Source organism: Homo sapiens, chromosome 6 (assembly GCF_000001405.40).
Source record: "Homo sapiens chromosome 6, GRCh38.p14 Primary Assembly".
Classification (NCBI taxonomy): domain Eukaryota; kingdom Metazoa; phylum Chordata; class Mammalia; order Primates; family Hominidae; genus Homo; species Homo sapiens.
The window spans coordinates 65,301,258-65,316,988 of record NC_000006.12 but is presented as its reverse complement, the minus strand read 5'-3'; the positions used below and the strand labels follow the sequence as shown (position 1 = coordinate 65,316,988).

The following is a 15,731-nucleotide window of genomic DNA, read 5'->3' as shown; positions in this document are numbered from 1 at the left end:
AGTCTTTTCAACAAATGATGCTGGTTCAATTCAAGACACATGCACATGTATGTTTATTGCAGCACTGTTCACAATAGCAAAGACTTGGAACCAACCCAAGTGCCCATCAGTGATAGACTGGATAAAGAAAATGTGGCACATATACAACATGGAATACTATGCAGCCACAACAAAGGATGAGTTCGTGTCCTTTGCAGGGACGTGGATGAAGCTGGAAACCATCATTCTTAGCAAACTAATACAGGAACAGAAAGCCAAACACTGCACGTTCTCACTCATAAGTGGGAGTTGAACAATGAGAACACATGACACAAGGAGGGGAACATCACACACTGGGGCCTGCCAGGGGGAGAGGGGCTAGGGGAGGGATAGCATTAGGAGAAATACCTAATGTAGATGATGGGTTGATGGGTGCAGCAAACCACCGTGGCACTTGTATACCTATGTAACAAACCTGTATGTTCTACACATATATCCCAGAACTTAAAGTATAAAAATAATTTTTTTAAAAAGTTGACGATTAAAAAAGAAATGACCCTTACCACCCACCACACATGAAAATCCATTCTGGGTGATTGTAGATTTAACTGTGAAAAGTGTGAAAGAGAAAATAATAAATCAATTAGAAGATAATCTAAGACTATAACTCAGATAATACCTTCAAGACTTTAGGATAGGTAAGGATTTGATAAATTGGGACCAAAAATGACTGTTCATAAGAAAAGATGGATACATTGGATGTTTTAAAATTAAAAACTTCTTTTCAACAGAAACACCATTTAGAGACTATAAAAACAAGCCACAGAGTGAGAAAAGATATTTGCAACACACATAACTAACAAAAGACTTGCATCCAGATAAATAATTTTTAAACTTTTACAAATTAACTATAACTAGATAAATAATGCAATAGAAAAAAGAAGGAAATACTTGAGTGGACACTTCAGGAAAAGGATATCTGCATATTTTCAATCTTATTTGTAGTCAGAGAAATGCAAATTAAAACCTCAATGAGATACTACTACTATTTACCAAGGAGAATAACTAAAATAAAGAAGAGAGATAATCCTAACTGCTGACATGGATATGTAGCAATAGGATGTCTCTTATATTGCTGGTGGGAGTTAAATTGGGACAATGATTTAGGAAAACTGCTTACATTATCTACTAAAGTTGAACATGTACATACCTATGACACAGATATTGCACTCCAAAGTGTATATTCAACAGAAAGGGGATCATGGTAACCAAAAATATTTCCAAGAATGCCCAGAGCAACATGATTTATAAAAATGAAAAACTAGAAACAATATATTGTGATAAATTCATAAAGTGGAATACTATGAAGCAGTAATACTGAATGAACCACAGTTATTATATTCAATAATATAGATGAATTTCACAAACATAATATGGAGCAAAAGAAGCCAGATGCAAGATTTATACAGATGATTTCATTTATAGAAAGTTGGAAAAGAGACACAACTGAACTCCAGTGTTAGAATGAGCGTAACAGTTACATTGGGGAGGAAGAAGGGAGTAGTGATGGGGAGGAGACATCAGAAGACTTCTGGATACTGGAAATATTATTTTTTAACTTGAATAGTTTTACAGCAATGTTCATCCAAGGACAATTCATTGAATGGTATGCATTTATGTATAGTAGAGTATTCTCTATGTATCTTAATATTCAATAAACATTAAGATACAAAAGCTCAAACTTTCACCCTATCATGGTATTTGAGAGAAAAAGACAAATAAAATTAGAATGTCTATGAATTAGAAAATTCTGAATAGAAGTGGTAAAACAGTCTATTACACTGGACCTCAGATTTGACATGCAGTAAACTACTCAGCAGACAACTGGTGATTTTCAGTTAAGTATGAGGCACAGGTATTAATGTATCCCTATGGCTACAAAAGTCAGAGATGATTATGTGTGCTCTGTGAGATTCCATTCATTTGAACGGGTATTCAGTGGGTGGTCTCAGCAAATTCCATAACTATCAAGCATTGGAATGAGAAGTGTTTTGGTGATATGATTTACTTTATCAATCAATTTAATCAAATTAGTCAAAGTTACTTTTGACCAGGCTTTGGAGAAATATAAACAGTGACCCTTCTGTATGGGATTGTTAGTTGATACAGGACTGAAGTTTTACCCTGATAAACAGACCTTCAGAAACTTATTCCATGAACAAAAATCTATGTGAGTGAGCACAGTTCCTGAAAATGTTCCCATCATCATCATTGGCTATGTCCCATCCTTGGGTACTGAATAAATGATGTTCTTGGAGTTCAGTAGATACAAGATTTCTGAAGAGCTAGCTGCAACTCTCTTAATGGTGTGACTCAAGGATATTAGGTTTTAGCTGGAAAACACACACACACACACACACACACACACACACACACACACACACACACCATAAGGGGAAGTCCAAAGAAGAGAAAGAGGGTTGAGTGCTTTTGAACCTTTAAGGATTGATGAAGACACATTAAGCAAATGTTTAAGACTTTCTTATCCTGTTTTATGCATTCAATGGATATATGTTGAGTGCCCTCCATTTCTTGTGACAGGCACTATTCTGAGTGCTAGGAATGATAGAGCAGGAACGAAAACAGATAAAAACCCGATTTCATGGAGCTTATATTTAATTGGAAGAGACAGAATAAAAAATTTTTAAAAACCTATCTTAGAAGTAATGAATGCTATGGAGAAAAATCAAAACAAGGATTAACAATTGTGGAGGGGGGGTTTCGATTTTAAATGGGGTGATCATTGAGAAGGTAACATTTGAGAAAGTACTTGAAGGAGGTAAGGAAGCATGTAAGCATGTATACACACACACATGCACATACACACACACACACAGATAGACACACCTGAAGGAAGAGCAATCCAGGCAGATGGAACAGCCAATGGAAAGGCACTAAGTGGGGAAATGTTTGGCTTCTGTGAAAAACAGCAAGGTCAGCAAGGCTGGAGGGGAGTGGGTGGTGGATAAAATTTTAGGAGACAAGGACAATAGTCGTTGCAGAGGGTCTGATCAGATACCACCTTGCAGGCCATTATAGGACTTGGGCTTTTATTCCTATTAATGTGGGAAGCTCTTGGAGGCTTTTGAGCAGAGGATAACTAACATGCTCTGACTTATGTATTGAAAAGACTGCTTTGACTGCTACATTGAGTACAGACTAAAGTTGGCTGAAAACAGAAGCAGGGAGACTAGTTAGGAGGCAATTACAAGGCCACGTAGGAGATGGGGTGGCCTGGGCCAGGTGTTTGCTGTGAAGATACTGAGAAGGGATCAGATTCTGGATATATTCTGAAGGTAGAGACAAAGGGTATTTAGTAGGTAGACTGTTATTTAGGTAGTTTGAACAGCTAACGTGAGAATAACAGAGGAGTCAGAAATGACTCCATGATTTTTGGCCTGAAACACTGGGAAGATTAAGTTGTCATTTATCGAGATACGGAAAACTGCAGAAAGACCGTATTTGGAGGCAAGATCAGGAGCTCAGCTGTGATCACAGTATGTCTGAGATGCCTAAAGGACACCCAGATAGACAGTTGAATAAGTTTTGAGTCAAGGGATAATTCGGGGCTGATCCTTTAAGCATGTGTTAATCACGCATGTATCGGGTCACTTCTTTACTCTAAACCCTCCTATTATTTCCCAGATATAAACTAGGGAGCTGTCAACATTTGGATGGTTTTTAGAGCCATGACAAAAGATGGGATTACCAAGTGAATGAAAGTACCCAAAGAAAGACAGAAGAGGTACAAGAATAGGCCCCGGGTGACTCCAACATAATATCTCACCAGCCCTACCTATGGGGAAAAAATATCCCCCAGGGAATAGGCCAGGGCCATCTAGACTTGTAGGGTTCAAGATGCTCTTTAAGAGGTGTGAGGAAAGCTGGAGTTTGCCTTTGTGTCCGTGTTGCTGGTGTTCCACGAAACAGTAGGGGATCTCTACTACCTCATCTGGGGGTTGAGGACTGGAGTAAAGCAAAACAAGCAGCTGTTAAATTAGGGGAAGTGACAACGCAGTGATAATCTGAAGATCCCAGGTCTTCAGATGAAAGCTCCCTCCTAAAGAGCCAGAATTTAACTTTGAGATTGGCATATATTACAACTGGTTACAGGAACATTGAACTAGGTATCTCCCAGTGGAAAGGAAAACAGAAAGACCTGTTTAACGTTGAAGCTCTGCCCCCATGTTCCTGAGAGCATACTGTGATAACTGTGACCATAGAGAAAAGAAAAAGCCAATAGCTGAAATGAATCAGGTTGTTGGGGGCCTGAGATAAGTAAGTGCAACTTGTTTACATGTAAAACATTTGTCTTGTCAATTTGGGCATTTTATCTGGAAATTATCCAAAGCAGCAATTATCTAGAGCTAGCATGCTAGACTGTTTATCCCTAGACATGGGTGGGGGATGAGGGGATAGAATGCAGGTTTTCATGGCACTTATAGAGTTTGGGAGGTCTCTTTTTTTTGTATTTAAGAAAAAGAATACAAAATTAGGCATGGGGCCATGGAAGTGACCTATGCGAGTGACGGCCCTAAAGCTATAGTTTTCCTAACTTCACAGAAAATCCACCTCTGACCCTAAACCCAGATGACAGAAACCTTGGGAGCAATAACTGATCACTTAATTTATCATGACCAAGTTTATCTTACAAGTGCCAGGAAGTATTCAGAGTTAGTCAAGCATCATAGGAAAACTCTCCTTTATGTCTATTTCTCACTCAAAGTTATTCAAATAAAAGGAAACATATTAAAGGCACTTAGATAAAGGAAGGCATAGTAAATATTCTTGTTCCATGAAATACCATCTTCTAACCACCTTAACAGATGCAACAGTTGAACAATCTAGCTGTGCTCCGCTGATATTAGAAATACTGTGGTCTGAGCCAAAGGACCAGTGATGGCATCAGGAATTATGTCACTGGCTATATCCTATATATATGTTTACCAGATAAAATACATGATATCCAGCTAAATATAAATTTCAAATATACAATAAATAATTTTTAGCAAAACGGTACCCCTACATACTTATGCATAGGACATACTTATACCAGAAAAGCACTCATTTTTCTGAAATTCACATTTAACTTGGCATCCCATATTTTTATTTGCTAAGTTTAGTAATGCTACCTACACTGATTTCTGCTTTGGGATACATAATGAGTGATAATTTGGAGAGCCTACTAAACAGAAAATCAAAGGGACAGAGGATAAATATTGTATTAGTAGGTCACATGGTTGCTTCCAACATTGGCCCTGACAGTTATCATTACTCATATAATAATACTCAACTGTCATATCAGAATCTGCAAAAGGGGGCTGAGGGTTGTGCAGAATTTGTGCATATTTAATTGACACAAATTAAATATTAAATATTAATTTAATTAGTAAAAACTATTCACTTTTAACTAATGAAAAGGATGGAAACTCTGCTTTTGTAAATAGGCAGCATTATTGGGAACACAATATTCTACTGCGTTCCCCATCCATAAGTCAAACCATCTGTAAGTCCAGGACTAAGTGTTATCTGTAATTGCTTAAAGTGCAACGTTGGTCAAATATGCATAAAGCAGCTAATTGTGAAATATGAGTAGTGGGTCTATTTGTTCAATGGGTAAAACTCACTTATCCTCCTTTAACATAGAAAATAGGATTAAATGTAAAACTTATGTCCCAGCTCATAGAGAAACTTACCAGAAACATGTCCAAGTACTTTGTTTACCATCCAACCCTTTTAGTTATATATCTAAGAATATTAATATTGTAGTACTTCATACTTTTTAAGTATTTATAGATATACGTATCGCTTCTCGGCCTTTTGGCTAAGATCAAGTGTAGTATTTATAGATATACTTATTTTCTTTTATTCCCTCCTCAAAAAATAATATTTTATTCATCATCCCCATTAAAAATTACGTATTCATTTGACAGATATTTAATGGGTATCGATTATGTGCTTGGAAAACAATAGTGAACACGACAGGAAAAGTTGGTCATTACAGAACTAACCTTCTAGTAAGAAATAAATAATATTTTAAAATAATAATAATAAAATTTCAGTTGGCAATATTGCCACGAAGATATAAAACAGAGCAAGAGAGACAGTGGCTGCTATTTTAGCTAGGATGGTGAAAACCCATTTGAAGTGGTAACACTTGAGTTAGACATGGAGCTTATATGATAATGATAAACCAGCCAGTGGAAATGGGAATCACTCGAGAAATGGAGCCACTCCTTGGAGAAGAAATGTGCTTAGCAAATGAGCTGCTCATAGAACAGTAAGGACTAGATGACTGTAGCAGAATGAGAAGGGTGTGGAAAGAGCTAAGGTTCAGATGAGGCAGAAGAGGTAGACACGACAAGGTCACATGGAGCCTTGAAGGGCATACTGAAGAGTTTGGGTTTTTTTATTTCCTTGTTTTTGTTTTTGACTAACCAGGGTTAGTCAAACAGACTAACCCTGGCATAGTGTGTGAGGGAGGGAACTTCACAAGAGTGTGGGTACTCAGAGGCAGGCAGGATCATTGAGGGTCATCTTGGAAGCTGGTCACCACTAATCCCAGATATATCTATATCTATAGATAGATAGCTAGATAGATAGATTTAGACAGAGTCTCACTCCATCACCCAGGCTGGAGTGCAGTGTCATGATCTCGGCTCACTGCAACCTCTGCCTCCTGGGTTCAAGCAATTCTCCTGCCTCAGCCTCCCGAGTAGCTGGGATTACAGGCACATGCCACCTTGCCTGACTAATTTTTGTATTTTTAGTAGAGATGAGGTTTCACCATGTTGGCCAGCCTGGTCTCGAACTCCTGACCTCAAGTGATCTGTCTACCTTGGCCTCTCAAAGTGCTGGGATGACAGGCATGAGCCACCACGCCCAGCCAAGAGTGTGTATAGTCCAGTGCAATGGGAGGGACCTGAAGGGGTTGGAGCAAGATAGTATTGTGATCCAATGCATACTGAAAGGATCAATATGGCTATTCAACCAAGAAAAATTGAACAGGGATCAAGGGGAGGAAGACAAAAGTAGAAGTAGACTGGAGGCCAATTGTCTAGGCAATAGATGTTGGGGCCTTGGATGTCACTGTGAAAGGGAGAGAAGTAGTCACGTCTGTTTGAAAGTAGGATCAATTGGACGTGCTGCTAAATTGGCAGTAAGAGGCAAGGGGAAAGATACATAAAGGATAACCATAGAATTTTTACCGGGAAGCTTGGTTGCTATTAACTGAGATGGGAACTGATGTTCATTAAAATTAAAACACATTCCCATAATCACACTTTAAGTACCAGAGCGAAGATTCGAATTCAGTTCTTCCTAATGCTCCAATATTTTGGGGTTGGTGAGCTGATTAATGTCTACTAGTGTGTTTACTTATTTAAAAGTCCCCCTTTTAAGCTATAAGCTCCTCAGTGACAGAGACTTGGTGATATCTGATATCTAGTCATAGGAAGCAGAGGCACATGAATAATGCTTTTTTGAGAACATTTGTAACAAGATATGACAAGTCTATCAGGCCCCATGTTTCCCATCACCCTTGGCTGATTCACCAATTTTTTTCTTTAAGGCAGCTATAGATGCTTTCTATAGTGTTGGTTTTGAATTCTGCTATGGAAGTACAAATGTCATTTCAGAGGCCTGCAAACTTTCCCCTTCTAAGGAAGTGTATGGGTGCAATTACGAACATATGTTAACGGAGATAAAACACATGCTAATTATTTCCCTACACGCAAAACTGTCTTGATGGAACCATCAACAGCCTTTATTTATTTGAGGAAATCTGACGAAAGAATATCTCATCAGCTATCTCATAACATTCTGTATTTGATTACCAGTTGAAATACTCCAAACTCCACACTAGTTTTTTCTAATTTTTTTAACCCTATAGGTTTTAATACCATGCAATTCTCAACCTCTGCATGACTTTTTTCTCCTTGTAAACAATTAGGAGCCATCTGGTTCCATGGATTTCCCGATCCTCCTGAGAATTTAAACTTAACACACCAAAAGGTTTGATTCGCCCAAGCACTACTATTACATTATTCAACTGGTTTTCTAGTCTTGGATCTTAAACAATATCTTCCTTAGAAAATCAGAAGAAATTTTCTCTTCATACTTCATATAATCCTCTTGCTCTATGTATAATACTAAGCTTTGAGGACCTCCTCAAAGCTATCTTGAAATGATTTACCAAAATATTTGCCAACTTGCCTCTTTCTATGGCAACATATAACTCAAACTGTATCACTTTGTCAATCCCAGTTTTTCTAAGTACCTGTCAAAAAAATTCAAAGGAGTTGGAGTTAGATAGAAAAGGAAACAGATTCCCCTTGGCACCTGTTTGTGCAATGTTGAGCTATGTCTGGGTACCCACTTCAATCTGAAACATTTGCATTCCTGATAAATAGGGGGAGTTTTTTCTGAGAAGGCTAATGAAAACAGAGATCTTTCTCACTCAAGATACTAACCAACTTAAAACACCCTGGCTCAAATCCCTTTCTGATAAACACCAAGATCTTATTATGTAATAAAGTTTATTGATATAGTATTAAATGGCCCATTGAGATGTAGCCTAAGGAAAACTTCTTGGAGATTTTTATTATGGCATATCTGGTAAGAAAGTTGTTTTAAACTTGTCAGGCAAGACATTATCTAAAAGGCTCTTTATTCAGCCTGAGGCAGTGGCTCACGCCTGTAATTCTAGCACTTTGGGAGGCCAAGGCAGGTGGATCACCTGAGGTCAGGAGTTCAAGACCAGCCTGGCCAACAAGTGAAACCCTGTCTCTAATAAAAATACAAAAAATTAGCTGGGCGTGGTGGGATGTGCCTGTAGTCTGTCCCAACTGCTAGGGAGGCTGAGGCAGAAGAATCGCTTGAACCCGGGAGGTGGAGGCTGCAGTGAGCTGAGATCACACCACTGCACTCCAGCCTGGATGACAGTGAGACATCATCTCAAATAAATAAATAAATAAATAAATAAAAATAAAAGGCTCTTTATTCAATAAACACACTTATACACACATAGAAGTGGGAGAGTGGGGGAGAGAGAAGAAAACTTCCAAAGTTACCTAGGTTTTTGTTGGACAAGATTAGATACTATAATGCTCCTCATTCTTATTATTTTTACTCCCCAAAATGAGGGGATAACAACTGAATTTTTCTCGTACACACTAAAGCCACAGTCTCAGAAAAACATATCCCACAATTTAAAGGAAGAGTGGTGATGATGGGTACAGAGGAGGAATTATCTTTCATACAATGCATTAAGATATTCCAAGTGATTTATGGATGTATTTGAGAATTAACGGATTGAAGCTCCTGAAAACTGCTAAGAGAAACTGAAAATGGAAACATTAGTTGTTCACATTAAATCTAAACATGTTTAGAGCAAGTTTAGGGACTATCACTTCTCAATGTGATAGAATAACTGGTACCAAATCTGTCTCTCTGCTGTAAACAGCTAGGAAATTGGACAAAATACATGAGACAGCTGTTTTCAGACGTTAGAAAACAGACACAGCACAGAAGTGTGAGTCTTCAGAACAGGAAAAGAAATGAGGTAAGCCCTAGAACCAACATGGCTTTCTGGATGTAGGCACTTCCAAGACTGCAGTAAGAGAGGAGGAACCATGACAAGGCAGATCCAACTTACTGAATTTAATAGACAGAGATCAGAGTTAAAGGAGCTAAAAGAGCTGAAATGTGAGGCACAGAGAGAAAGAACTCCAGAAATCTATACAGGCAGCTATCCTGAGTCCTTCATTGAATATTAGGCTACATATGCATGAAATGAAACTCTGTGAGGCCAGGCAAAAACAGCTACTGGGATTTGTGAGCTGGGGGTTGAGTTGCAGCCAGCCAGAATGGAGGCATTGCGGACCACCCTGAATATTTCCTCGAGCCTCCTGAAGAGGCGTGCTTCAAAAGGATAATTAAATTAGCCCTAAAGAAAAACTTACTCTAGACGCATACTCCCAAACTTAAAAATACGCTTAAAAAGGATCAGGTTGAATGGTAAGTAACTTAACTCCCTGGCAAAACAAAATTCGGCTTTCCAGAGGAAGACTACAAAATCTAGACTTTCTTTTTTTTTTTTTTTTTTTTTTTTTTTTTTGAGACGGACTCTTGCTCTGCTGCCCAGGCTGGAGTGCAGTGGCACGATCTCAGCTCACTGCAACCTCCGCCTCCCAGGTTCACACCATTCTCCTGCCTCAGCCTCCCAAGTAGCTGGGACTACAGGCACCCACCACCACGCCTGGCTAATTTCTTTCTTTCTTTTTTTTTTTATCCTACATCAGTTTTATTTAAAACACAAACAAGTATTTCTCTTTCTGTAAGGGCAAATGGTTCAAATAATGCGGAACACGAAACATTGACTAATACCAGTTTATTTTTTAAAAAAGCAAAAGAATAAAGAATATCTACAAAAGGGACCTGGAATCTGTAAGCTGATTCCAAAAGCGAAATAAGTAGAAAATCCGTGGTGAAACCTGAACATTCTACCCCTGCTTTGGAGAAGGGCTATCATACAACATTCAGTCAGCTGAAGATGGATTGGTAGAGGTGTGTCGATACATAAATTTCAAGTCATTTTTGCTTGTGCAGAATCATCCCAATCTTAACAAGACTGAATGGGCAGTCCTGTGGCTTTCTTCCTTTTCCATATTCCCAACAAGGCTACGTGAAGTTCAACTCTTGATGAGCCGCTTACAACAGCAGTTCCTTAGGAGCCAACATGACAGGTGGGGGTCAGATTTCCCTATGAGAAACAAAACTGGCCACCTACAGCAAAATATCAAAATGGGTAAGTCCTTCCTTCCTCTTCCTCCTGATTATATACAACATATCTCCTTTCAAGACTATTATTTCCATCATGCTTATTCCTTCACAAATCTAAACCTTGAGGTGATATGAAGGAAACCAACATCAAGAAAAGAAAACTCAATTCAGAAATGAAGAAAACTGGCAGGTATACAATATACCCCCAGAGCATCTCAATATCCCTGGCACAGTACAATTCAGTGTACTGCTACAGCCCATAGATAAATATTGGCAGCTTGAATAAGCTCATTTTTTCCCTCAGGTGGTTAAAGGCCACCACATAAATACTGGGCAACAGGGGTTTGTTGGGAGAATTAGAAATAAAAAATTAACCATATTTTGTCCCTGTGTTAATTCAATGCCAGCAAGGAGGCAAGTACTGAAGAAGAAAAGGGACAATTTTCATACTAAAAAAGAATTCCTCTAATCATGTCACCATCTCATATAATGAATCCAGGGAATCCCAGAAATAGAAAATTAGTTTCAGGGGACCCCTGAGGCACTTTAAAGCCTTTTAAAAAATTACAGTAATAATAAATTAGATATTGCTCTTCAGAGGCCAACAGAGCAGCAGAAGCATCAAGATCAGGTCCAAAGAGTTATGCCCACATTACAGGCTTCCTGAGCTGCTCAGCCCTCTTTAAAGCTTAGTTGAATCTCTAAATACCTTTAAAAAGACATACAATCTAACACAGACTGAGTGGGTATTTTTGTTTAGTGGTAGCATAAAATTTGGTCCTTAATGGTAGCAGCTGTCTTCATCCATTTCAAACTCAGGTAATATTAAGTACATCAAGACAATACATAAAGAATACAACAAAGGAGAAAAAAGCCAAAACTGACAAACACCTCAAGGAGTCACTAAGTTTGCTTGCACCCTTTCACTTGATCTCCCTCTCAGTCTCTTTTTTGTGGAGAGAAGGGTATGACAGAACTTTTTTCTCAAAAGATGATAAACAATGGCATCAAATGGACAAAATGGTTATAAAGTAACTTTAAAAATCTGACCCCAAGGAATCCAGGACACATACAGATAATTCAGAGGTATACTTCTGATTTGGGGCAAATTCTAGACTAAAGAAATGATCATCTCAGGTAAATGTTACAATAGATGAAACTAAGTCCAGTTTTTTGGCGATTTTTTTTTAAAGTGTCCTCACTACCACCTTCAGCTATCAATCATTTCTCATAGCTCAAGCGGAAGGTCATCTTCATCTTTCCCAGGATCCAGGTCAATCTCAGCTTCCAATTTGCCTCCTGAAATCTCCCATGTTAGTTTCTCAAAATCATCCTCCACAGAGAGTGGGGGCTTTCCTGTTGAGGCAGAGCTGAGTCGGCGAGTTTTCATGCTCATTTGGGATGAGGAAGGGCCAGACACCTCCGGGGGTGAGGAATCTGAAGAGGACTGGGTTAGAGGCAGCACAAGACTGTCTCTAGGATTTTCTGTTTCAGGCACAGTGACTGATTTGTCCTCAGAGACAAGCAGGACAACAGCATCCACAGCTGCCTTTTTGGCTGGGGGTTCCTGTAGGACGCTGCTGGAGCTGAGTGGCTTCACAGCGGCAGTGACAGCAGGGTGCATCTCCACTGCCTTACGTTTTGGGGCCAATTTGGGGGATGACACAACTTTAACCACAGATTGCTTCACGTTCACTGTGGGTTTAGCTTCACCCCTTTTTTCCAAGGTCTGTGCTGACCATTTCACATTCAATAATGAGTCTGCAATCCCTGAGGTTTCTACCTCCACCTTCTGGGATGACTTTGTGGGAAGCTGCTTGGTCAGGTGCCATGTGATTCCTGGCACAGCAGTGAGCACTGGTTTCTCTGCCACTTGGGTATTGCAAGAGGCTACATCTCCCTGAAGAGGTGTCAAGACTGATTTTTCCCTCTCCTGCTGTTTCTGCATGCGCGTCTCTCTCATGATCTCACATCTCTTGACTTGAATTTTAGTGATGTCAACTCCTGTGGTCTCAACTGAAGCCTCTGTAGCTTCCATTCTAACACGGCTCAGAAAATCAACTTCATTTCCTTCCTGAAGTTTCTTCTCTTCTTTCCTCCATGTTCTTTTGGTGATTCGCAGTAGCAACCTTGCCCCTGGAGTGGCCTCATGTTGAGACGGGGAGCTGGTGCTGCTCTCAGAGCTCTGCTGCACCCTCAGTGCCTTCTCCAGTTTAATTTCTTCCACCGTCTTCATGTGCACCTCCTGCATGGACTTTGTTTTACCTGCAGGCTCCTCTGATTGTCCTTTGCTGGCAACAATGGGTGGCAAAACTACTGTTTTTTTAATTTCACTATCAGTCTTTAGCTTGATGCAAGTTGTATCCTTTTTGCTTTTTTGTCTCTCTGCTTCCTGCTGCCTATGTTCTTCTTCAGCCAGGACCTCAGAGAAGGTTTTGATACGGATAGTGGAGGAGCTTCTTGCTCCTGAAGTAGAATCATCAGTTTTTGAAGGTCCTTCTGTCTTGAGTTTAGTTTGCGATTCCCCATGTTTCTGACTGGCTCTTTCAAGAAGCATTTCTTCTAATGTCTTCACATGGATCTCACCAACTTTATTAACTTTATCTGTTGCGTCCTCATTATTTGGATCAGCTGACATGCCTAATCGCTCCTTAAGAGACTTGGAAACTTGAGCTTTCTTTGGTGTTTCGTCAGTGTTAGTTTCTGGAGCTTCAACTTTCTTCCCTAGCCTCTGTGCCAGGCTGCGCTTTAATGGAGGATCACTGTCACCGCCTGTCGAAAATTTTCGTTTCCCCAGTGTCTCAGTAAGGCCCAATCTAACCAAGGGTTCTTCTCCTTGTTTGGTGGAGAGAGTTACTGTCCTCACCACAGTCCTGACATTTTCTTTTTCAGGACCTGGAACAGGCTCAGGGTGGAGTAAAAGACTGGAAACTCCTGAAGAACCCTCACCTTGCTCCTCAGATTTTTCCTTCATTTTCTTTGACTTAATTTCCTCAAGAGTTTTTATTCCAAAATGCAAACATTCACCTTGCTTTATATTGACTGCAGGTTTCCGGACAGAAGTCACTCGTAATCCATTGTGAACTTCAGGAGTTGGTTGCAGGGTAGGTGTTTTGGTTTCATCACCTTCCTCAGAAAACTGATCATCATCATCTTCATCATCATCTGCAGCATTAATTACAACTGGTGGATGCTTGGGGCTAGGAACATTTTCGGAACTTTCTACTTTCATAACGCTCCGCAGCTGAGGGGAAGGATTGGACTGGACAGACAATTTGTTCTGCTGAACTGAAAGTTGGCTAGCCTTCACTTCCTCTTCTGGTGACTCAGGCACAGTGGGCAACACACTTTTGCTCGGAGGTAGGAAAAGGCCATCAACATATCGTCCTCTATTGTGATGGAAAGCGCAGTTTAATTTTTGACATCCTGTTGGCTGATTTTCCCAATAACAAGGAATTTCACTGCGTTTTTTATCAATCTCCATGTGCCGAAACCTGCACACCCGTCGAAAACAGCGCCCTTCTTGCCATAATGTGCAAACAGTTTCATTGCCTAGTGCAGCTTCACAGTGACGGAATGGGCAGCTGTCACCTTTGGTACATGTAGAATAGAAAAAAAAATAGCAGTCTTCTCCTTGATTAGGCATGCTGGGTAGATTCTTAGATCAGAAGTGGCTTCTTGAAACAAGCCACTGCTTCCTCAAAGCAAGGACCAGGCTCCAAGTCCTCGTGAAATGGGTTTAATCTTCCAAATGACAACTTGATCACAGAAATTGTCTTTAAACTGTAATCATTAGCTGATTGCTCTCAACAGGAACGTCTGTGTCTTCACTGAGTTCCAATCTATTACGCCTGTAGGTCGAACCAACACTCAATCCATGAATTAATAATAATGAAGCAGAAAAAATTTTCCTCCTCACATTGCCAAGAAAACCTCTCAGCCACAATTCAAACACAGCATGTGTTTTTAAAACATCTCCCAACTACTGGGAGATTAAGTCCATTCAAATAACCTTTGTCAGACTGGAGACAGCTAGGGTTAGTTATCTCCTCAAAAACAAAACAAAAAAAAGAGTTCATTTAAAGATGAACTTGAGAGTCAAAGGATCATGAAAAAAAATCCATCTTCCATAGCTGAACAATATAATCTGAAAAACAAAAAAAATCAGTTTTTCAGTAAGATCCAATTTCTGGTCTTCAAGATTTCTTCACACTTAATACTAGTCAATTTTCCAGGAATTTTTTGGGCAGGGAATATCCCCAAATCCTAAAAAGCATCACTATCTCTAGTTCCACAGCCTCCTTCTCAAGGTCCAGAACCTTGAGATGGCCTGGAAGATGTCAACAGTATAGGCCTTCCCCACAGGAATCCGCACCAATTATGGGAGTTTAGGGGTGTTCGTCATTACGGTTTCACCAATCCTACAAGGAGTACGGAAGTGTCCCTGTTGCTCTTGACTCCCACGCTGAGGGCCAGGGGTGGGAGTGTAATGAGGGTGGGGAATGGGTGTAGGATACCGGAATAAGGTCGGTGGCTTTCTGTATGTGGAGTTTGAGACAAGCTCCAAAGTAGTGGGACCCGAACCGATGACACTATCCCCGACTCCCGCTTGCTGCCACGTCTTTCTTCTCGCTTGGCCGCTGCCGTCCGTCGTCCTCCCAGCAGCAGCAGCACTAGCAGAAAACCAAGACTGCCAGCGTCAAAGATGGCGCCCGGCTACAGGCTGCGCTCTAAGGCCCGGCCGGTAAAAGTGCCAGCACGACGCAGGGCGCGAGGGTTCTGGAAGGTGTAGTTCCTCTATGACGCGATGCCTAAGATCTAATTTCTTATATCTTTGGTAGAGACGGGGTTTCACCGTGTTAGCCAGGATGGTCTCGATCTCCTGACCTCGTGATCTGCCCGCCTCGGCC

At 40.2% G+C, this 15,731-nt stretch overlaps 2 protein-coding genes and 1 pseudogene across 4 annotated transcripts in view; 2 read left to right on the top strand and 1 right to left on the bottom strand.

Moving 5' to 3' along the window:
* Positions 1–15,731, top strand: part of EYS (eyes shut homolog) — a 1,987,247-nt gene that overhangs the window by 390,238 nt on the left and 1,581,278 nt on the right. The gene's annotated exons all lie outside the window — the stretch shown is intronic.
* LOC124901559 (uncharacterized) lies at positions 5,844–5,913 on the top strand (annotated as a pseudogene).
* On the bottom strand, positions 10,415–15,513 carry ZC3H11C (zinc finger CCCH-type containing 11C). 2 transcript variants are annotated; one of them, NM_001271675.2, is made up of 2 exons: positions 15,339–15,513; positions 10,415–14,968 (listed from the first exon to the last, which is right to left on the bottom strand). In NM_001271675.2, the coding sequence occupies exon 2, from the start codon at positions 14,465–14,467 to the stop codon at positions 12,050–12,052; it is 2,418 nt and encodes an 805-aa protein (NP_001258604.1). In that variant the 5' UTR covers positions 14,468–14,968; positions 15,339–15,513; the 3' UTR covers positions 10,415–12,049. The 2 variants fall into 2 exon arrangements, with proteins under 2 accessions (NP_001258604.1, XP_016866378.1); XM_017010889.3 differs by lacking the exon at positions 15,339–15,513 and adding an exon at positions 15,033–15,075 and having other exon boundaries at positions 10,415–14,672.

Coding starts and splice junctions, on each gene's coding strand:
- ZC3H11C (NM_001271675.2), bottom strand. CDS start 14,467: ATGCCTAATCAAGGAGAAGACTGCTATTTTTTTTTCTATTCTACATGT.